Raw genomic sequence first — 24,138 nt, forward strand, 5'->3', positions numbered from 1 at the left:
TACGTTCCATCAATACCTAGTTTATTGAGAGTTTTTAGCATGAAGGGCTGTTGAATTTTGTTGAAGGCATTTTCTGCATCTATTGAGATAATCATGTGGTTTTTGTCTTTGGCTCTGTTTATGTGATGGATTACGTTTATCGATTTGTGTATGTTGAACCAGTCTTGCATCCCAGGGATGAAGCCCATTTGATCATGGTGGATAAGCTCTTTGATGTGCTGCTGGATTAGGTTTGCCAGTATTTTATTGAGGATTTTCGCATCGATGTTCATCAGGGCTATTGGTCTAAAATTGCCCTTTTTTGTTGTGTCTCTGCCAGGCTTTGGTATCAGGATGATGCTGGCCTCATCAAATGAGTTATGGTGGATTCCCTCTTTTTCTATTGATTGGAATAGTTTTAGAAGGAATGGTACCAGCTCCTCTCTGTACCTCTGGTAGAATTTGGCTGTGAATCCATCTGGTCCTGGACTTTTTTGGTTTGTAGGCTATTAATTGTTGCCTCAATTTCAGTGCCTGCTATTGGTCTATTCAGTGATTCAGCTTCTTCCTGGTTTAGTCTTGGGAGGGTGTATGTGTCCAGGAATTTATCCATTTCTTCTAGATTTTCTAGTTTATTTGCACAGAGTTGTTTATAGTATTCTCTGATGGTAGTTTGTATTTCTGTGGGATAAGTGGTAATATCCCCTTTATCATTTTTTATTGTGTCTATTCTATTCTTCTCTCTTTTTTTCTTTATTAGTCTTGCTAGTGGTCTATCAATTTTGTTGATCTTTTCAGAAAACCAGCTCCTGGATTCACTGATTTTTTTGAAGGGTTTTTTGTGTTTGTATCTCCTTGACTTCTGCTCTGATCTTAGTTATTTCTTGCCTTCTGATAGCTTTTGAATTTCTTTGCTCTCGCTTCTCTAGTTCTTTTCATTATGATGTTAGGATGTCGATTTTTGATCTTTCCTGCTTTCTCTTGTGGGCATTTATTGCTATAAATTTCCCTCTACACACTGATTTAAATATGTCCCAGAGATTCTGGTATATTGTGTCTTTGTTCTCATTGGTTTCAAAGAACATCTTTATTTCTCCCTTCATTTCGTGATTTACCCAGTAGTCATTGAGGAGCAGGTTGTTCAGTTTCCATGTAGTTGAGCGGTTTTGAGTGAGTTTCTTAATCCTGAGTTCTAATTTGATTGTACTGTGGTCTGAGAGACAGTTTGTTGTGATTACTGTTCTTTTACATTTGCTGAGGAGTGCTTTACTTCCAATTATGTGGTCAATTTTGGAATAAGTGTGATGTGGTGCTAAGAAGAATGTGTATTCTGTTGATTTGGGGTGGAGAGTTCTGTAGATGTCTATTAGTTCTGCTTGGTGCAGAGCTGAGTTCAAGTCCTGGATATCCTTGTTAACTTTCTGTCTTGTTGATCTAATATTGACAATGGGGTGTTAAAGTCTCCCGTTATTATTGTGTGGGAGTCTAAATCTCTTTGTAGGTCTCTAAGGACTTGCTTTATGAATCTAGGTGCTCTTGTAGTGGGTGCATATATATTTAGGATAGTCAGCTCTTCTTGTTGAATTGATCTCTTTACCATTATGTAATGGCCTTCTTTGTCTCTTTTCATCTTTGTTGGTTTAAAGTCTGTTTTATGAGACACAAGTATTGCAAATGCTGCTTTTTTTGTTGTTGTTTTCCATTTGCTTGGTAGATCTTCCTCCATCTCTTTATTTTGAGCCTATATATGTCTCTGCATGTGAGATGGGTCTCCTGAATACAGCACACTGATGGGTCTTGACTCTTTATCCTGTTTGCCAGTCTGTGTCTTTTAATTGGGGCATTTAGCCCATTTACATTTAAGGTTAATATTGTCATGTGTGAATTTGATCCTGTCATTATGCTGTTAGCTGGTTATTTTGCCCATTAGTTGATGCAGTTTCTTCCTAGCATTGATGGTCTTTACAATTTGGCATGTTTTAGCAGTGGCTGGTACTGGTTCTTCCTTTCCATGTTTAGTGCTTCCTTCATCAGCTCTTGTAAGGCAGGCCTGGTGATGACAAAATCTCTCAGCATTTGCTTGTCTATAAAGGATTTTATTTCTCCTTCATTTATGAAGCTTAGTTTGGCTGGATGTGAAATTCTGGGTTGAAAATTCTTTTCTTTAAGAATGTTGAATATTGACCCCCACTCTCTTCTGGCTTTTACGGTTTCTGCCGAGAGATCCACTGTTAGTCTGATGGGCTTCCCTTTGTGGGTAACCCGACCTTTCTCTCTGGCTACCCTTAGAATTTTTTCCTTCATTTCAACCTTGGTGAATCTGACAATTATGTGTCTTGGGGTTGCTTTTCTTGAGGAGTATCTTTATGGTGTTCTCTGTATTTCCTGAATTTGAATGTTGGCCTGCCTTGCTCGGTTGGGGAAGTTCTCCTGGATATCCTGAAGAGTGTTTTCCAACTTGGTTCCCTTCTCCCTGTCACTTTCAGGTACACCAATCAAACGTAGATTTGGTCTTGTCACATAGTCCCATATTTTTTGGAGGCTTTGTTCATTTCTTTTTACTCTTTTTTTCTCTAAACTTCTCTTCTCACTTCATTTCCTTAATTTGATCTTCAATCACTGACACCCTTTCTTCCAGTTGATTGAATCAGCTGTTGAAGCTTGTGCATGCGTCACGTAGTTTTCATGCCATGGTTTTCAGCTCCATCAGGTCATTTAAGGTCTTCTCTACACTGGTTATTCTAGTTAGCCATTCGTCTAATCTTTTTTCAAGGTTTTTAGCTTCTTTGTGATGGGTTTGAACATCCTCTGTTAGCCCGGAGAAGTTTGTTAACACCAACTTTCTGAAGCCTACTTCTTTCAGCTCATCAAAGTCATTCTCCGTCCTGCTTTGTTCTGTTGCTGGTGAGGAGCTGTGATCCTTTGGAGAAGAAGGGGTGCTCTGGTTTTTAGAATTTTCAGCTTTTCTGCTCTGGTTTCTCCCCATCTTTGTGGTTTTATCTACCTTTGGTCTTTGATGATGGTGACCTACAGATGGAGTTTTGGTGTGGATGCCCTTTTTGTTGATGTTGATACAGTTACTCTCTGTTTGTTAGTTTTCCTTCTAACTGTCAGGTCTCTCAGCTGCAGGTCTGTTGGAGTTTGTTGGAGGTCCACTCCAGACCCTGTTTGCCTGGGTATCACCAGCAGCAGCTGCAGAACAGCAAATATTGCAGAACAGCAAATATTGCTGCCTGATCCTTCCTCTGGAAGCTTTGTCTCAGAGGGGTACCCAGCTGTATGAGGTGTCAGTCGGCCCCTACTGGGAGGTGTCTCCAAGTTAGTCTACATGGGGGTCAGGGACCCACTTGAGGAGGTGGCGTGTCCATTCTCAGAGCTCAGACAACGTGCTGGGAGAACCACTGCTCTCTTCAGAGCTGTCAGACAGGGACGTTTAAGTCTGCAGAAGTTTCTGCCGCCTTGCAGTTCCATCTCGGACTAGCAGTGAGCAAGGCTCTGTAGGCATTGGATCCGTTGAGCGAAGCATGGGATATAATCTCCTGGTGTGCCATTTGCTAAGACCGTTGGAAAAGCACAATATTTGGGCGGGAGTACCCCGATTTTCCTGGTACAGTCTGTCACGGCTTCCCTTGGCTAGGAAAGGGAAATCCCCCGACCCCTTGCACTTCCTGGGTGATGCGATGCCCCGCTCTGCTTCAGCTCACCCTCCATGGGCTGCACCCACTGTCCAACCAGTTCCAGTGAGATGAACCAGCTACCTCAGTTGGAAATGCAGAAATCACCTGTCTTCTGTGTCAATCACATTGGGAGCTGCAGGCCAGAGCTGTTCCTATTCGGCCATCTTGGACATACTCTGTTTTTTTTTTTGTTTTTTTTTTTTTGAGGCAGGGTTGCGTCTGTTGTCCAGGATGGAGTGCAGTGGCATGATCGTGGCTCACTGCAACCTCCACCTCTTGGGGTCTAGTGATCCTCTCACCTCAGCGTCCTGAGAAACTGGGACTACAGGCACACATCACCATGCCCAGCTAATTTCTGTATTATTATTATTTTTAAATAGAGATGAGGTCTTACCATGTTTCCCAGGCTGGTCTCAAACTCCTGAGCTCAATGACCTGGCTGCGTTGGCCTCCCAAAGGGCTTGGATTATAGGCCTAAGCCACTGCAACCAGCTTTGCCATAATTTTTATGACTTAACATCACGATAAGCTTTATTTTTTGATAAGTTTCTTGTCTCATCATTGGTATGGAATATTTTATATGGATTATAGGTCAAGAAAAATGATAATTTTCCTGTAGTCTGAATTTCATTTTTCTTATTAAGATGAAAATGTACTTTTTAAATAACTACAGTATTTTAATGACATTACAATACGTTTTTTACTTATTTGTTCATTAATTTGATAAATATTATTGGGGACCTACTTTACATCAGAGCCCTGCTAGGTGGTGGGGTAGAAATAGAAATATATTAAGGTAAAGACTGATTCATTTTCTGAGTGTCTATATGAATCTAACAAAAATATAAGCAAGCATGCTTGAATAATAACAAAAATATCAAACTAAGTAATAGACAAAACAACTCCCCATCTCTTCTTAACTCTCAGAAGCCATCTGGATTTCTCACCTTATTGGATGAAGAAAGTCAAATGATTTGGTCAGTGGAATCAAATTTTCCAAAAAAACTACAAAGTCTCCTAGAATCCTCAAACACAAATGCGGTGTACTCCCCCATGAAGGATGGGAATGGGAATGTTGCCCTCAAAGACCACGGTACAGCCTTCACCATCATGCACTACGCAGGAAGGGTAAGTGGCCAGAACTGCATAATTTTTCATGTGCACTAATGATCAAAGGTCCTTGGGACAAGCTCTAGAGTTATTGATATTTTAAGGTGTGTTATTTGGATAAATGGAAGCTGGATGAACAACCCACAACATGTACTTTTCTAAGTGATTTTCTTTTAGCCTGATGAGGAATTAACATCTTCAGAATGATGACGCACACTGTGTGGGCCTTCTCATAATGTTTCTAGAATTATAACTTTATATGAGCAAAGGATCCCTGGGTTTAATACAAAGAGCTCTGCTATAAACTTTGGAATATTATTCATAATACAGATGAACATTGGACATCTGAGTTTTCTTGCCTTGAATATAGTTTTTAGTATTAAAGTATTTTTTATTAAAGCATGTCAACTTAAGGAAGAAAGAAAGCCACTCTCTCATATCTTTCCCAATTCTCTAACCAGGTTTGTAAAACATGCTTCTTACTTCAACACCTTCAAGGACTTCCTCTTACTTGTATAAAAATGATCATTCTCCTTAGTCCAGGCTAATATCAGGTTTCTCCAAGCTGATCATAATTTTTTTCCATATCTTAACCTGCCAGAACTCCCCTGTGCAAGATCTCTGTTCAGGTTATTTTTCTCAACCACTCAGTGTTTCTGCATTTTCAGCCTCCCTTAAACTCCATTACATTAAGCTTGATATATCTTCCTTGTCTTCTTAACAAGATCAAATTTTATCCAACTTTCAGTATTAAATCCATGTTTGTTTATCCTCAGTCCAAATCCCAGCTGTAGTTAATGTCTTCCACTTTTGCATGTACAGCTCTCTGTCTCCTACTCTTAACTCCTTTGACCCCACTTAGTACAGATGGCGTGCTAGAGGGTAAAATCTCTCACCGCTGTCTTACAGTGTATTTCAGTTCATTTCGACCAGTGTTTCTAGACTCTGCCTTATGACAAAGAAGGAGCATTTGAGAATCAAAGATGAACGAAGCCTATTCCTTGCCTTCAAATATCTCAGCTTCGAATAGGGAAAGGCAAATGAACAAATATTAATATGAATAATGTATTACATTGATATAATAATATCAACAAATGTATATATTACGATAGGGAAGGAAGCAATGCGTGGCTTAAAAAATGTGTAGATGCTTTCCAAACCCAGACCTTCAAAGGTGATTGAGAGCTCACTAATTATAAAAGAGAAGGGGGGACATTCTTGGAAAGACATAGAATTTTGATTCAGGATTCAGTTGTATAGGAGAGAATCCATTCTACCTATTTAAGTAGGAAATAATATAGTTTGAGAAAATAATCATTGGGAGACTCTAAATTGAACTTTCAGGAATGACATTAAAAGCACACCACAGAAAAGAGTTACTAAGACAGTTACAGCCTTATCTTAGATCAGGAAGCCTCTAGCCAAATTAAGAAGCTGCTGCTACAGCTACTGCTACTGCTCCCACCTGCACAAGTAGCGTGTGCAAACCCTAGCACTCAACATCAAAGGAGTGAGGGACTAGACCTGGAGATTCCCACTGCAAGGGAAAATCATCTTCACGGAGGCTCACCAGCTAACACAGCAGAAGCAGCAGCAGTGTGGTTTTCACTGCATCTACTTCTGAGTCTTGTGCCATCATAACAGACTGGTGGAAGCTAAAGAGCAACTGGATCCCAGTGCAAGGATATGTGGAAGGCAGGCTTCTCCTTTTCAGCCTTGGCGGTACAGGCAGCAACCAGGATGCATGGGCGATGCCATTCCAACACAGCACCTACCTAGTATTTGGGAAGTTGTGTCAGAAGTTCAGTGCAGGGTAGAAAGGGCGGTAGGTGACATGTCTAAAAAGATTGGGTGGGGCCAAATCATGAGTAAATATGCATGTACAACCAAGGGCTTTGTCCTCTTAACACTGTTAACTCACGAAGTATTTTTAGACAAAGTAGGAAGATGAAGCAATAAAAACAAAAAAGCAGAGGGCCTGATACAGGAGATATTGGTATCATAGAAACCAAGAGAAATGAAGAAAAGGGGTCAATAGGAAATGTACCTGGGTGATATGGTAGTTAGGCTAAACAGGAGCTTTGAGAGGCATTAGAGTGGCAAGGCCTCAGAAGGCTGGGGTGGTGAGTGGCACGTCAGAAGGAAATCCATGGAGGATTTTTATGTATATAAAATGTATATGTATATGTATGTATAATATATACATATAAAACATATTTATATATACAAATATATATACATATATATATTTATATATACAAATTTATATATACAAATATATATTTATATATTATATATTTATAATGTATTTATAATTTTTATATTTATATATTATATATATGTATATATTTATATATACAAATATATATACATATACATATTTATATATACAAATATAATATACAAATATATATTTATATATTATATACAAATATATATTTATATATTATATACAAATATATATGTATATATGTATGTATTATATATACAAATATACATATATGTATATATGTATATATTGTATATACAAATATAAACATATGTATATATTTATGTTATATATACAATATAAACATATGTATATATTTATGTTATATATACAATATAAACATATGTATATATTTGTTATATATACAATATAAACATATGTATATATTTCTATATTCTACATACACATATAAACATATGTATATATTTCTATATTCTATATACGCATATAAACATATGTATATATATTATATATATGCATATAAACATATGTATATATTTATATATTATATATACACATATAAACATGTATATATTTATATATTATATATACGCATATAAACATATGTATATATTATATATATGCATATAAACACATGTATATATTTATATATTATATATACACTATGTAAACATATGTATATATTTATATATTATACTCAATATATAAACATAGTATATATTTATATATTATACTCAATATATAAACATGTATATATTTATTATATATACACATGTAAATATATGTATACATTTATATATTATATACACATGTAAATATATGTATACATTTATATATTATATATACACGTAAATATAGGTATATATTTATATATTATATATACACATGTAAATGTATGTATATATTTATATATTAATACACACATGTAAGTATATGTTTATATTTATATATTATATATACACATGTAAATATGTTTATATATTGTATATACATATAACAATATATAAATTTATGTATATGTTTATGTATTATATATACAAATACAAATTTATGTATATATTTATATATTATATATGAATATAAATTTATGTATATATTTATATATTATACAGATATAAATATATATATTTATATATTATACAGATATAAATATATATATTTATATATTATACAGATATAAATATATATATTTATATATTATACAGATATAAATATATATTTATATATTATACAGATATAAATATATATTTATATATTATACAGATATAAATATATATTTATATATTATACAGATATAAATATATATTTATATATTATACAGATATAAATATATATTTATATATTATACAGATATAAATATATATTTATATATTATACAGATATAAATATATATATTTATAATTATATATACAATATATAGGTATATATTTATTATATATACAAATACATGTATATATTTATATATACAAATATAAATGTACATATTTATATATACAAATATATAGACAAATATATATACAAATATATGTATATATGTATATATGCAAATATATGTATATATACATATATATGTATATATGTATATATACAAATATATGTATATATGCATATATACATATATACGTATATGTATACAAATATGTTTTTATATACATATTATATGCATATTCTACATTTATATACATATATTTATATTTTATATTTGCATTTATTAGATATTTATATTCAATAAATATAAAATTTATTAAATTTTATTAAATACTTATATATTTAATCAATACATATATAAGTATAAAATACATAAATATAAAATATGAATATATGTATATAAATATATACTATATATTTCTATATGTATATATTTCTATATGTATATATAGAAATATTATATATACAATGTGTATGTATATATTTATATTTATATATAAATTCTCATATATTTATTTAAATATAAATTTATATACATAAACTATAAAAATGTATACATTTTAAATATAATTAAATATAATTCATGTTCTTTGAATTTGAGAGATTTCACTATTACAAATTCTTTAGGAAAACAGCAATCTTAGACTTGTATTTCAATTTTTCAGGCTATATTTTCTTCATAGTTAATATTTGTTGAATTCATAGGGAGTATTTTACAATTTACAATGAGGTATGATGATTTCAGGAAATTACTTTTCCTAAGGTTTCATGGAAGTGACTGTAAGCGGATATGTACTTGATGTGCCTTCTGAGTCTGTTTGTACTGTGTATTGGAGATGCACTAGATGTTCAATAAATGCTAATTGCATTAAAGTCAGTGGAAATGTGCTTTGGAATAATAGTTTTTAAATCATTTTATGTTCAGTTTAAAAAATTGTACATTCACTTAAAATTTCCAGTTTTAGTTTCAAATATTTTTAGAAAATTTTTGGGAAATCAACTAAGTTTAAGTCAATGTAATTATTTTGCTGAATTCTGATAGAAATAAAGCAAAACAGAGAAAACCAATTGATTAGTTGGTGCACAGCCTAAACCCCTGTGGAAACATGAATGTTCCTGTTAAATCACCTTAATTTTTTAAGCAAGATTTTTCTCATGGGAGTCAGTTTTGTGGTTTTATAAAAATCTTTTATTGTACTGAGATGTACTAATGAGTCTTAGCCAAAAGACTCCCTGAGGACTCATTCACATGTTCAGTGTAGATTATATGTAATTTGTGGCAATATGTCAAGCCATATGCCATTTGAATAATCAAATGTAGACACATACACTTAAATTTTGAGCTACTGCAGTTTCAAAAAAAGCAGCAACACATTCTGAATTTTATAAATCAAGACACGTAGAAAAAGTTAACTGATTTGAAATCAACATGCAAGGTCTAGTTTGGACAATAGGAGGAACATTGCTAAATAGCTCTATGATAGTAAAGTTGGGCCCAAGCGAGAGCTCAATGGCCCTGGGGTTCTTGGCTTTATTGCCACTGTTTTGGCCAGACCGATGGGGTAGAATGTATCTCCTTCATCACCACTTGCTCCTCCACGATGGGATTACCTGGTCTTTTTACTGGAAATTCATTACATTTCATAGGAAGGATAATTATTACTCCTGGATGATATTGGCATCCAGCCCCACCTGGAGGGACTCGCCTATCCTGAAAGCTCTGACCAGGAAGACCGGCCACGCTTCAGAGTCTTGTTTGGAACAGAGGCTCTGAGGTGCTTTTAGAAATGTTTAAGCAACATTATTTAAATTATAGCTGAAGATCTTTTCTAAACACATTTGAATTTTTCATTACTCATAGGAGCACAATATATTTTCCAATCACCATTACAGAAATATTTTAAAGTAAATGGGAAGAGGCCGTACATGAAATATTAACACAGTCTCATTAATGAGCATGAATCTGAATTAAAGAAGGCTTGTAGGGTTTTTTGGCTAGATATTTGTTTTAGCAAATATTAAATCATATATGGGATTATCACTTATAGGGGCTTCTCTTAAAAGTCTGATGATTTACATGATGGATAAGCATTAAATTCAGAATGTGTCTAATTTTATTGGCTATTAAAATTAAGAATCTTGAAAGAAGAAAGAATTATGGGTTGGAGAAAGACATTGGCTCTTAGGAAAGTTAAATTTCCATTAAGATGATTCTAAACTAACTCTAGTAAGAAATAGTATTTTTAAGTTCCTAAATTTTGATGTGAGATGAGCAAATAGATTAGGAGATAGTAAAACAACATTAAGTAATAAAAATTGCATTAATGAAAATGTAGGTCAAAAGTAATAGTTATACAATATATGACACCTACCTATATGAGCCTTGTTTGTTGTCTGCTCATAGGATCTTTGTCTGAAAGTTGTTTTTTATGAAAATTTATATTAGCATGAAGTGAATCTCTTTGGATCTCAGATAAGCATCCCATTGTGATTGGCCTGAATGGTTTATAGGCAACAAATTGGTGATGTGTTCTTACACCTAAGATGATGCATCCCTGTTTCAGCTCCTTCTCCCCACAAATGCTTATGCATTATAATGGGCTGAACGGGAGCCCTCCGAAAATATTTTCAGGCCCCTATTCATGGAGACTGTGAATATGATCTTATTTGGAAAAAGGGTCTTCATTTATATAATTAAGTTACAGATCTTGAGATGAGGAGATGATTCTGGCTTATCTGGGTGGTCTCTACGTCCAAAACCTACTCTAAAAGTTAGGCAGAGAGAGATTTGAGAGAAAAGAAGGAGGCCATGTGACCACGGGGGGAGGTATTGAAGCAGCCAGGAGCCAAGGAACACCTGGAACTCCCAGAAGTTGGAAGAGGCAGGAAGGATCCACCCGTTGAGCCTGGTGTGGGTGGGCCAGATTCCAGAGTGCTGGCCTCCAGTGGTGAGAGGGAACACTTTTCTCTTGTTTTGAGCCACCTAACTTGTTATTTGTTGCAGCCATCCTAGGAAACCATAAAGTATTTATTGGTTCATCTTGACAGATGATAAGAGTAGTAGTTTTATCAGATAACATTGTAGAATTTCCTTGCCACATTTGATTCGTTTTTAAGTGATTCCTACACTTCTCTAACCCAGGTTTTTGCACGTGGTTTTCCTTACCTGGAACATCCCTTTTCTTTGTCTTTCCAAATCTTATCCATCTTCCCTCAGATCAAGTTCTTGGCCTGATCTGAATTTCCTTGATCTCATTTTGCCCTACTCAATAATGATTCCTGAAGCTTGCATGACATTTTCCAGTTTACAAAGTACTTCTGTGACATTGTCACCACATTCTTGGATGTAAATATTACTATTTCCGTTTTCCAGGTAAATAAGCCTTGGTGAAGTTCAGTGATTCATCAAAGATTGTACAGCAGCATATTAATTTCCTAGGCCTGCCAAAACCAAGTACCGTAGACTGAGTGGCTTAAAACAACAGATTTATTTTTTCACAGTGCTGGAGGATAGAAGTTCAAAGTCAAGTGTTGGCAGGGTTGGTTACTTCTGGAGACTCTGAGGGAGAGGCTGTTCCAAGCCTCTCTCCCAGCTTGTGGTGGTAGCCAGCCATTGGCATTCCTGCCTTACAGACCCCAGTTCCTGGCTTGCAAACCTATCACCCCAATCTGTGCCTCCATCACATGGCCCTGTCCCTCTGTGTGTTCTCTCCTCTTCTCACAAAGATTTAATCCAGCCGGACCGCATCTTAATTTAGCTGATTTCATCTACAAAGACCCTATTGCCAAATAAGGTCATATTCTGTTGATCTGGGTGGACGTGAATTTTAGGGTACACTATACAAGCCACTACAGGCTAGCAGTGACAACACTGTGTCTTATTTTCCCCCAAGTTCACTGTGCTTTTCTCTCTTCACCACATCGTGGGGTGACATTCCTAATGTGTTTATTGTCTGTACTCATAGAATTCATGTGGCATAGTGGAAGGAGGGTGGAAAGGGCAGGATCCCTGCCTGGGGCCCAGCTGGCCAGGGTTTGATTTCCAGCTCCATTACTCTGTGCCTTTGAGGAGGATAAGGACCCTCAGTTGCCACACCATGATATTTATCATTAAAGAAAATATAATTATGAGCCTCATAAATTTGTCCTGAAGCTTAAGTACAGGACAAGCAATAAATGCAGATACAATTATTTTTACTCATTTTTTCAAGTATGTGAGTCATCTATTTCCCCAACAATGGCTGAAGGTCTTCAGTGCAGGAATACAACAGTACTTCGTAACATTTTGAACTCATCAGTCACAGATATTGAAGACCAGAAAATATTGCAGGAGTTATCGAGTCAACTTTTGCCATATATTCAGAGGAGAATATTGGTGGCCCCATTGAGTTGCTCAAATAAAGTAAGTGGTAAAGTGTCCTTGACTTGTTTAAAAAAAACAGAGTCAATTCTTTTATCTTATAAAAGTGCTCACATTATATAAAGTAATATTTTGAAAGTCATGTTAGAATGTGTATTTTTATATACATGCGGTTACTGGTATCACTTTAGTAGATGATAGGAAAGGTACAACCACTCCCATTATATTACAGTATTTTCTGGCCCTTCTTATGACACTTGACTTCAGTGGAAGGTATGTGCAGAAAATTGAGATATTTCTCTAACTATAGTATTAAATTAAATATATAAACATATAATATAAAAAATATATAAAAATATTGTATAATATAACATTAAATTCTCTAAATATAGTATTAAATACAGAAAATTGAGATATTTCTCAACTACAATATTAAAAGAGAAAACAGAAAACAAAATGTTTTAGTTTATGTTAATGTAACATTTTGTTTTTCACAGAATATTTGGGATGCTTTGTGATGAGTAGCTCCCTTTGAAGGGAATTTTGTAAAAAAAATATATATTCTTTACCATTTAGTTTTATAACTAATACTTTAATCAGGCATACAGTTGTGTGAAATGTTACTGCACATTTTAAAAGATCCTTTCCATATGATTTCCCCTTATAAAATTAAAACATTCTCTACAATTTATATACATATTTTGAGTTGTAATTTTATGATGGCATAAAAACTTACAGCCACCTTATCTAGTGTGCTTGCAAATACATCTTTCTGTGGTGGATTTTGATTGTATTTGTCAGGATTCCTTCGTTGTAGCTCTAAACCACAACCCTACAGATAAAATTGTAATCTCAGACACGTAGGCCCTGATCATTACTGTTCATGTCACTGATTTCCACAGACCTTTACGGGAATCACATCACTAAAACGTTGCTGATGGGAATGACGTGAGGAAAAGAATGAAGTCACTGATTTGTAGCCCGTCTGTAAAATACGTAGATTTTTTTCTTCTGTTTAAAAATAGCGTATCTCTATCTTTGAATAAACTAAGTTTGAAATGTTCCTATTGTTTAGATTTATGCTGTTATGCAGGTCCCCGAGTAGAGATCTTTGTCTCATTGATGCTGCAATGCTGCAGTCGATTCTAGATGATCTAGTGATGAAAGCCAACCTCTTTGCCTTTAAACATTTTTTCTTTTCTTTTTTTTTTTTTTTTTTTGAGATGGAGTTTTGCTCTTGTTGCCCAGGCTGGAGTGCAAAGACACAATCTCGGCTCACTGCAACCTCCGCCTCCCAGGTTCAAGTGATTCTCCTGCCTCAGCTTCCCAAGTAGCTGGGATTATAGGCGTCCACCATCATGCCCAGCTAATTTTTTGTATTTTTAGTAGAGACAGGGTTTCACCATGGTCTTGAACTCCTGACCTCAGGTGATCCACTCTCCTCGGCCTCCCACCTTAAACATTTTTATATAACATGCTTGCGGGATCTCTGTCTGTTGAGCTTCTCAGTTCCACCTGTGTCAGGAACACCTTTCATAACGTGTCCTTTACCTCCCTGGAGATTTGTGGGGGACACATTGTACCCAAGAAGACTCTGAGATTGAACTTTTAAATTAAAAAACAAAAAACATGAACTAATCAACAGGGCAGTTTTCATTTGTTTCTCTCCTTTTCTCCAGGCAGAATCCCCAGACATAACAATCAAATCAGTCTGGTCTAAGCCAAACTGATACTCTTAAAAGCTATTTGACAAAGGTATTTTGACCTGCACAGAAAGAAGTTAATTTACATCTGTATTTGTTCACCTCTTGAGCAGGCGTTTTGAAAAATAAAAAGTAGCTCTACTAGGCTCCTGGTGTTCCACTGCTGACACGAATTTCCCCTTTGGCAGTATTGTGTGGGAGGCATGATCCACCTTTTCTTACCTAGGTTTTGTTAAGACAAAATGTAATACCTCATTTAGAGAATCTTCTGCTTCTTCACATATTTAATATATTCTTTTATTTCATGAGCTGACAGAAAGTTATAAAACTTTAGATTGTTCAGAATATTGATAGTTTATGGCTAGTTGGTATATTTTTTCATAAAGGAATCAATGAGGCACATTCATAAATTTCAGCTGTGTCAATTTCAAGGGACTATCCATATACAGATTTCTAGATATCTAGATGGGACTCTTAACAACATTACTATAGGTTCCTAATAACCTTCTTTGTTAATTAGTATTCATCAATTTAAAGTGAATCAGAAGGAAAGCAAAAAAAAAAAACTAGCGGATAGAATCACTTAATGGGAAAGTAAAAGAATAGAAGCTCTTGCTTATAAATATTGATGATATACAGACATCAGTTTACCACTACAGAAGAAATTGAGACTCTTTTCAGCAAACCTCAGATAGAAAGCTGAAACCAGGCAGGGAAAATAATTGGACACATTTATATTTGCTGCAAATGATCACTTATTTATTTTGCTAAAATCCAATCTTCACATATATTCTGTGATATATTGAATTCAAGGGTTTATCTCAAAACTTTGCATTTTAAATTATCACCACTTCCAACACCAGAAAAGTGGTTTAATTAAAAATTTAATTCCAACCACTTATTTCCTAAGGATTATCTTTTGCATCATATAAATAACATGAGAAAGGGATTATAAATTTGATGGATGTATGAATTTACTTTCATTTTGTGAATATTGATGATGTTTCTCAGAGCAGGGAGCTTATCGACTCTCAAGATTCAGTTGCACATACACGATGATTCCCAGATCTCCACTCTATTTCTGCTGTGGGCTGCATATTGACTTTTTAATATCTCTATTAGTATAGCATCTTAAATTCAACAGAAGCAAAGTCAACTAAACTCCCTACCCATCTCCCACTCCCACTCTTTCTCTCTCAACTCACCTCAAAAAAGTAAAAAAGAAAATAAATAAAGCTGATTTTTTGTATTTGTCCCCCCTTTCAATTAATGGCAAAACCAGACACCCAATTAATTACCAAGTACAAGCTACTGTCTTTCTTATTTAACTCTCAATCCAAATACTCCACTTCTTATCTCAGTACCCTGGTTCACATCACCCTCCTTGTTCTCTGGACTACTTCAGTAGTTCCTCAACACTAATTGATGGAATGAGTACTAATTATCATTAAAGAATAAAGGAATGAATGAATTTTGTTTTGTTTTGATTTGATTTTTGAGATGAAGTCTCATTGTTGCCCAGGCTGGAGTGCAACGGCGCGATCTCGGCTCACTGAAACCTCTGCCTCCCAGATTCAAGCGATTCTTCAGCCTCAGCCTCCTGAGTAGCTGGAACCACAGGCGCCCACCACCACACCCGGCTGATTTTTGTAGTTTTAATAGGGATGGGGTTTCACCATATTGGCCAGGTTGGTCTTAAACTCCTGATCTCAGGTGATCCACCTGCCTTGGCCTCCCAAACTGCTAGTGAATGAATATTTTTACTTAAAGGAATATTAACTGCCTCAAATTCATTTAGTTTTTTTGTTTCTCTGATAACTCTCTTCAAAGTTAAATGTGATTACTTTGATTTGATTTGTTAATAATAGACCTAAACTATTGGCACTGATGGATGCTCTACTTACCAGTTGGGCATAAATGATACCTTTTAAACATTTCTGTCCCCAAGCTTATTTCTCATAGTTGAAGAATAAATTTTGCTTTCTCTCTTCAGAACCAGAACTTCCAAATTATTTTCACATTTTTGTTTTTCACCTACCTGGTAGTAGAACAGACACAATTCAGAAGATGTAATTGAGATTCCTTAATATTTTGGGCTTATATTGCTTTTTAAAATATATTCGGCAAGATTAGTTTTTTCCTTGTAACCAGATAAAAATTTGGGCAGCTCCAGTGATATTTCTGGTCTCTGTCTAGTCATACAATGTCATTTATTTGCTTTACTTGGCACTCACAGACCCAATTCAGTAACTAAGAACTGTAATCGTCAAAACAACAGATTTAATGGAAAGTGAAGTCTCCTCATGCCTCAGATACTGCCTAGACATTGTACGGTGGCCTAGAAAGTGCCTTTTTCTTCCTTTTCATGCCATGCTTTGCCTCTACTGATGTGCATTGTTTCACTGTGGTTTCCTGCACACTGTGCTTCACGTGTGCAAAGCTAACACTCACTCAGGTGCTTTTCTGGGCGTCTTAGGGGGACCGACTTTCCCAGGTGTGGGTGATGCTCATCTTTGGCTGGCTGCTCCCCCTCGACCCTGGTTTTGGGGTTGATTCCACATAGACCCTCTCTACTGGACTCCATGATTTCCAACTTCCCATGTGTCTCTTGGCAGGATTTAACACAGCTCTGGCTTGTGTACCAGATGAAGCCCTACCACCATATCCTTCGCTATCAAAACCTCCATCTGTGGTGTGGTCTTTGTTTTCATGTGCTGGCTCAGAACAGCTCAGGCCGCTGCAGCAGAAGCCATTATCCCTCCCACATCGTCGCACATATCCCCATCCTTTGTGCTTCTTCCCAGGGCCAAAGGCCAGTGCACAGTATCTTCCTAGCCAGTGAGACAAGGCAAAGGTGTAAGAAGGTTCCCATGAAGCCTCCCTTCTCTTGACTTAGAGGACAAAGGAAGAAACCGTGGAAATGCACTTATGTCCACATTTGGATGTTATTAAAGCAATAAAGCAATCGCTATTGTGTACTCAAATTGAGCACAAGATCAATAGATTGATAGATGTAGACTTTGGTGTATGAAGTAAATACAGTAGAGAGCTAGATAGATGGGCAGGCACACACATAAATCAAATACCACTACTGACAGACACACATGCATATTAGCCATGCTGTAGTCTTGGATATTCCTACATGTCTAACCTGAGGGTAGCTTTGTTAGAGGAACTTTAACTTTTAGCACTTTAACTACATGGAAATGTAGATTTCAATATCAGAAATATATTGAAGATATATGTGAGATACTGTAATTAGCATTTGATTTGACCTTAGCATACCTAACAAGGTAGCCTGTGCAAGCTTCAGAAAAGTCTCTAATTTTAATGCAGAGAATTACATATAATTCTCTAATTTACATGTAAATTATGGATAATCTTAGCTAGGTAAGAGTAATAGGGAAGGAAAATTAAGGCGTATTTATAAGAGAACTAAGTAGTGAATCTCTACACAATGCCCCTAAAGGCCCACCTAGGGACATAACACCATGGTTTTGCTATTCAGAGGCATTGGTGTGTGCACTTACTGAACTACAGGGAGTTGAAGAGTGGCAACATCCATGTTTTCACCCTTTGCCCAGGGCTCCGTTTCCTCTCGTCTCTCTGTTCTGTAGCCTGTGAGGCAGTGCACCACTGACAAGCATGCTGAGACCCATTAGGCTCTGTGCACAATACTCATTTTGCAGCTCAGACGGCTTCTCCTTTCACATACAGTTCTCCTACAGTGGACGATTCTCATCCCTTTGCCTCGATCTGTCAGACTTCGTCGTCCCACATTATTCTCTTTGCTTTCCTTTATACCTTCAAGAGCTCCATTATCTTTCTTTAGGAGTCCTAAACAGTGCTGTGCAGCATCTATCCCTGTCTTTTCCTGAGCTACGTAGCAGGAAGGAGTTTCTCAGCTGTCAGCAACAAGACAGAGTAGACAAAACAAGAAAATGGAAAATTATTGAGGTCCATCAGGATTCCATCTCAGGAATAAACTGTACTAAATTTTCAAAGAGCAGAAAATGATTACAGGGAATAGATTCCCCAGGAAAAGTTAAGCAGACAGACAAGGGATGCTGAAGTGATCTAGAGGTTATCCACAGCAGAAAGTAGCTGCATTACCTAAGGTTAAAGGATCATGGGAGGAGAAGTTACCTCTGGACCCCAGGAGCTGAGGGCAGGAGGTGGAAGCCACATGTTTCTACAAGGCCACTACTCTGGAAGAATTGGGCTATGAAAAGTGGGCTGCAAGACAAAAATGGAATCAGGGAGGAAATTCAGCCCTTGTAGGAGAGGAAGATAATTACCAAAACTTGGACCCTCCTCCTGCCTTGTCATTTTCTGCAGTGCTTTTAGGGTTGTAGCCCTATCTGGAAGGCCAGGCTGAGAACCCCACTGCCTCAATGCATCTTAGGGCAGAAAAGGGCACAGATTCATTCGAGAGCAAATGGGCGTACCTTGAAGAAAAAAGACATCACAAAGCACAATTTGTGGCAGAGTCCAGGTCTCTTGAAAGTGCATACCTAGACAAAGTTAGAGTTGATAGATACAGACATATAAGTTAAGGCTGGCTACCCTTGGAAAAAGGAATTAGAGATAATTTTTAATTTTGTTACTTTTAGTACATTCCAAATTTTACAAATGTATATGATATGCTTAGGCTTTATGTCCCCACCCAAATCTCATCTTGAATTGTAATCTCCATAATCCCCAAAGGAGAGACCAGGTGGAGGTGATTGAATCATGGGGGTGGTTTGCCCTGTGCTGGTCTTGTGACAGTGAGTTCTAACAAGATCTGATGGTTTTATAAGGAGCTCTTTCCCCTTCGCTCAGCACTTCTCCTTCCTGCAGCCTTGTGAAGAAGGCACCTTGCTTCCTGTTTGCCTTCCGCCATGATTGTAAGTTCCCTGAGGCCTCCCTAGCCATGCTGAACTGTGAGGCAATTAAGCCTCTTTCCTTTATAAATTACTCAGTCTCAGATAGTTCTTTACAGCTGTGTGAAAACAGACGAATACAACATGTAACATATTTTACAAAATATTTTTAAAAGGTTAGTCCCTGCTGTTTTCCTTGGCTTATTAAAAATTTAGTCTTTTAACCCTGATAACCTCCTCAATCCAAGGATGATATTTTAATAACCTTTGATATTAGCCATATCAAAGGCAATCTGAAAATCTAAATAGATGCCCATTTACTAAATTTACATATAAGCCATTCCTAGCCCCCTAAAATAATAGTTTTGTTGATGGATTATGCTAATCGATAAAATCATTAAAATTCAGTGTGAAGTGGCCAGAGATCAAAACTCAATTAAATAGATAAGAAACTGTGGTTCAGAGAAGCTGACTATCATGTTCCCACAATTAATTATCCCAGCACATGGCCCATGAGTGTTTCTATAGGTTGAGAAGCAGAAACTATAATAGATTGAGAATCCCTTCTTCTTAACCCTTGGTCTATTGTTCCTTCTACTTTACCACGCTCTCATTTTTATATCATTTTCTCCAAAATTCCAACACCATATATGGCATATATAGCGTACCACAATAACCAGGGATTTTTGAAAAATCCTGCACTTTATTGCCACCCTCTTAGATGAAAGTATTTGAAAGTTTTTTTTTTCCCTCTACAAGAACTTTTCAAAAAATGCTAACTCCCCTAAGAAAATAGCTTAGCCCTGAGTATACTTATAGTCCAATCTCATCTTAAACCTATCAGCAATTTAAAAATACGTCAATATCTGCTCTAATGGCTGTTCTCAGAAGGACTGTGTTTCTTTATTTAAAATGCACTGTAGGCCGGGCATGGTGGCTTATTCCTGTAATCCCAACACTTTGGGAGGCTGAAGCAGATGAATCACTTGAAGTCAGGAGTTCAAGTTCAGCCTGGCCAACATGGCAAAACCCTGTTTCTACTAAAAATACAAAAATTAGCCGGGCGTGGTGGTGTATGCCTGCAATCCCAGCTACTCAGGAGGCTGAGGCAGGAGAATCGCCTGAACCTGGGAGGCAGAGGTTGCAGTGAGCAGAGATCATGCTACTGCACTCCAGCGCGGGTGACAAAGTGAGACTCTGCTTCAAAAAAATTAATTAAATAAAATAAAATGCACTGTGTACAGTTACTTCCTGCAAACCCTGCTCCCTTGCTCCTTTCTCACCTGCCAGCACCACATAGAAGGACTGAGTTAACAGAGCATCCTAAGCTCCTAGTAGCTGGAGCTGTGATTCTCATACGTAACGTGCATCCAACTTAACTGGGGAGCAAGTTTAAAATGCAGCTTCCTGGATTTCTCTCCAATAAATAATGACTAAAGAGGTCTGGGGTGAAGTTGAAAGCATTTGCATTTTTATTAAACACCAGAGGACATTCTCCTTTAGGGAATCTGGAAAGCACATTTTGACAGACACTAAAATTATTAGCCACATAGTAGGTGCTCACATTTCACAGTTTTGCATTATTCTCTCACTCGGTACAAGGCACAGCGAGAAAGGAGGCTGCAGACATAAAGAACTCACTATTCCCCAGCTCCAGCCAACCCCTGGACCTTCTTTAACAAGGTGAAGTAAGCCAATTGCTCTTGCTTTCAGTTCAGGGAATTAAAATCCAGTGTTGGTGGATAGAGCTATTTCTGTGGCGTTCTCTTGCCTTTGGATTTCAGTTTCCTTGGTGATTAGCCAAGCATGAGCCTGACACCCTTCAGTTAGGAAGAAAATCCATGTGGTTTGGCACTTTGTAACTTTTGTTCTCTTTGTGGAGCCAGGAAACTCAGTGTCTTGATGAATTTTGAGTCACAGACATGGTGAAAGTTTTATACCCCTTTTTTCATATATAGATGACATAATTTATCTTTTAATTGTATTTATTGCAGTGCTGGAGTGTTACAGCAAGTACTTCCAAAAAAGCCGCATACTGTCACTGCTCTCAAGTTTATATTGCACCCCTCATTTGGCATCCACACTGGAGCATTTAAATGAGGATCGCTAACTGCCGCAGCATAAGCAAAATGCTAAGTTTTCTTTTGAGTTATTTTATTGAACAGAATCATTCCAAAGGAAATTTTGAATACATGACAATTTCCTTAAAGATCCATATTGAGTCGCATGAATATAAATTTCTCTATTACATGCATGAGAGACGCTGCCATGTACTGCATGAATCCTGTCTTCCAATCTTGAGAAGGAAAAATAAATACATAAAGCCTGAAGATCAGTTATGTAAAGAGAGTGGGGAAAAGGAAGGCATAAACCCAGCCTCTATCTTTGGCTACTTTCATGCTTTTCTCCTTTCATCCCACAAATAATAAACCAAAAAAGATGAGCAAGGCCCTGAGCCAAGCAGCTGCCCTGAGTGACCCTGGAGAGCCTTCGACCTAAAATCTTCTCTCTGCTGCTCCAGCAGCACCAACCTGCTCTCCCCAGTGGCACAGCAGAGAGCAGACCTTTGTGTGTCAGCAGACCTGACACTCCAGACTCAAAAAGCTCTAGGTGAATTCTAATACAGGCTGAGTTTCTCCTTAGTGCTTTTTCTTTCCTAGAAATGCTTCCATCTCACTAGGCTCTGAGGCTCACTTTCCTTTGAATTGCCCGGGAGGCCACTGGCCTTGTCTGCACTGTTGTGCAGCTTTTCTTTGTTTCTTCTCTATGCGAAGTTATTGCCCCTTCCTGGAGCTGGAGGCGGCGGCCCTCAGTGAAGTCCAGGTGCTGCGTATAGATGCTGATGAGTTTAATGGGCTCTCCTTTCTAGGGAGACTTCTTTTCTTAGGAAGCATTTCCTTCATAAGTTGTCAATCAGTGAATTTCACCTGAGACAATTATGGGTCTAGAATGAGAAGCTTTTTATTGGGAGGCAGCCTATTTAGCAGCCTCAAGACAGATTACCTAGGTAATGCCATGAGTCCTTCTCAAGTAAGTCATGTATAAAACTCTGGAAAACGGCAAAGAAGAAGGTACAGGTGAGCATTAGAAACATCAATTAGGGATATTCATGAGAAAACTATAGTAAAAACTATGCAAAGGTAGGTAGGAACAAGCCTTTTTATTTATCTCCAAAGCCACCGAGAGACACACAGAGAGAGAGAGAGAAAGAATGGGAGAGATAGGAAGAAAGAGCTAGAGAGAGAGGTCAGCATTACTGCCTATGTGTTGTAGATGAGAAGCCTTGGAAACTCAGTAACTTGCCCTGGTTATCCAGGCCCTGGGGCTTGTTGAAGCTGGACTCCAGAAGGTATGTCACTGAGCAAGGCCAATGCACTTTTGACAACAGCTTGATGCCTCTCAGAGACTTGGGCCTAGAAAGGCAGAGTTGGCCTTGGTTGCTGGAGAAGCTGGAAAGGAGTTTATTGAAAGGAAAAGCAGCAGTGATGGCAAGGGAGGAATCTGTGAGTAGGGTAGAGGAAAGTAGGGAGTACAATGGGGAAAATGGGAAAATGCTGTAAAGCGAAGGATTTAATTAGGCAAAATGTACATATTTCTGTAGACAGTGAGGATTTATCAGGGATCCAACATGATCGATCATCAAGTTAGATATTTTTTTTCCATTTCCCTCTTTTCTTCAGAATTAACTCCCAGGTTGTGATGATTAACTTATGTGTCGGTTTCACTGGGCCATGGGATGCCCAGATGGCTGCTTGAACATCATTTCTGAGGGTGTCTTCGAGGTGTTTTGGGAAGAGATTAGCATTTGATCAGTAGACTGATTAAGCTGTTGCCCTCGCTAGCTTCAAGTGGGTGGGTGGGCACCACCTAATCCCTTGAGGGCCTGAATAGTGCAAAAGAGAGGAAGGTTGAAATCTCTCTGCTTGACTGCTTGAGCTACAATATCAATCTCCTGCCCTTGGTACTCCTGGATTTCGGGCCCTCTGACTTAGACTGGAATCTACACTATTGGCTCTCTGGCTGTCAGGCTTTCGAACTACCTTGTCGACTTTCCTGGGTCTCCAGCTTGCAGATGGCAGATTGTGGGACTTCTCAGCCCCCATAATTATGTGAGCCAATAACTCAGACTATATATATTATACTATACTACTGGTTCTATTCATTTGGAGAACCCTGATGAATACAAAGCTTTTGTATTCATTTAAGACAAAAAGAAAACATTCGGGCTGTCTTAGTCCAGATTATACTTTTTTTTTAGAATCAAATTTGTTATATTTTTTAAATCAAAATTTTAAAGAATCTTTTTAGTTATATTTATTGAAATTACAGTTTTCCTTTTAGTGTGCACAATTTTTCAATGCATAGGTTTATTTAGGATCTTATTACTGTGCTAAGATTCTAAATGGATATTTTTCTCCTAGCTCCCTGCCACTGTGATGATATCAAAGGAGGCTTGGTAGGGGGTTAGGACTTCCAGCACTGTGCAGAGATAATACCCCACTACCCAATTTATGAAGGCTATGTAGGAAGCAGTAAAGAAGTGTTTCAGCCCATTCCACTGCTCATCCCACAGCCAGGGAAGAATGACTGGAGGCTTAGTGGAGAGGTAGAGCCTTTATCTTCACCCAGAAATAATGAGGATTCATTCTTCTTGCATATCAGAGGAGGCTGGGTAGGGACCTAGACATCTACTCTGACAAGGCAGTAGTGAGGCTGTGCCTTCCTTCTCTTGCCAAGTGCTGGAAGGAGCCAGCTAGACAGAAAGTGATGCTGGAAACTTCAACAC

At 37.1% G+C, this 24,138-nt stretch overlaps 1 protein-coding gene across 7 annotated transcripts in view; it reads left to right on the forward strand.

Annotated features, from left to right (window-relative positions):
* MYO16 (myosin XVI) overlaps positions 1-24,138 on the forward strand; it is a 712,290-nt gene that overhangs the window by 519,412 nt on the left and 168,740 nt on the right. For all 7 annotated transcript variants that reach the window (XM_011521062.2, XM_047430183.1, NM_015011.3 and 4 more), the window contains one exon: positions 4,584-4,784. In XM_011521062.2, the coding sequence (XP_011519364.1) occupies positions 4,584-4,784 (201 nt within the window). The remainder of the gene's footprint in view (positions 1-4,583; positions 4,785-24,138) is intronic.

The sequence above is a fragment of the Homo sapiens genome, chromosome 13 (assembly GCF_000001405.40).
Source record: "Homo sapiens chromosome 13, GRCh38.p14 Primary Assembly".
Lineage (NCBI taxonomy): Eukaryota > Metazoa > Chordata > Mammalia > Primates > Hominidae > Homo > Homo sapiens.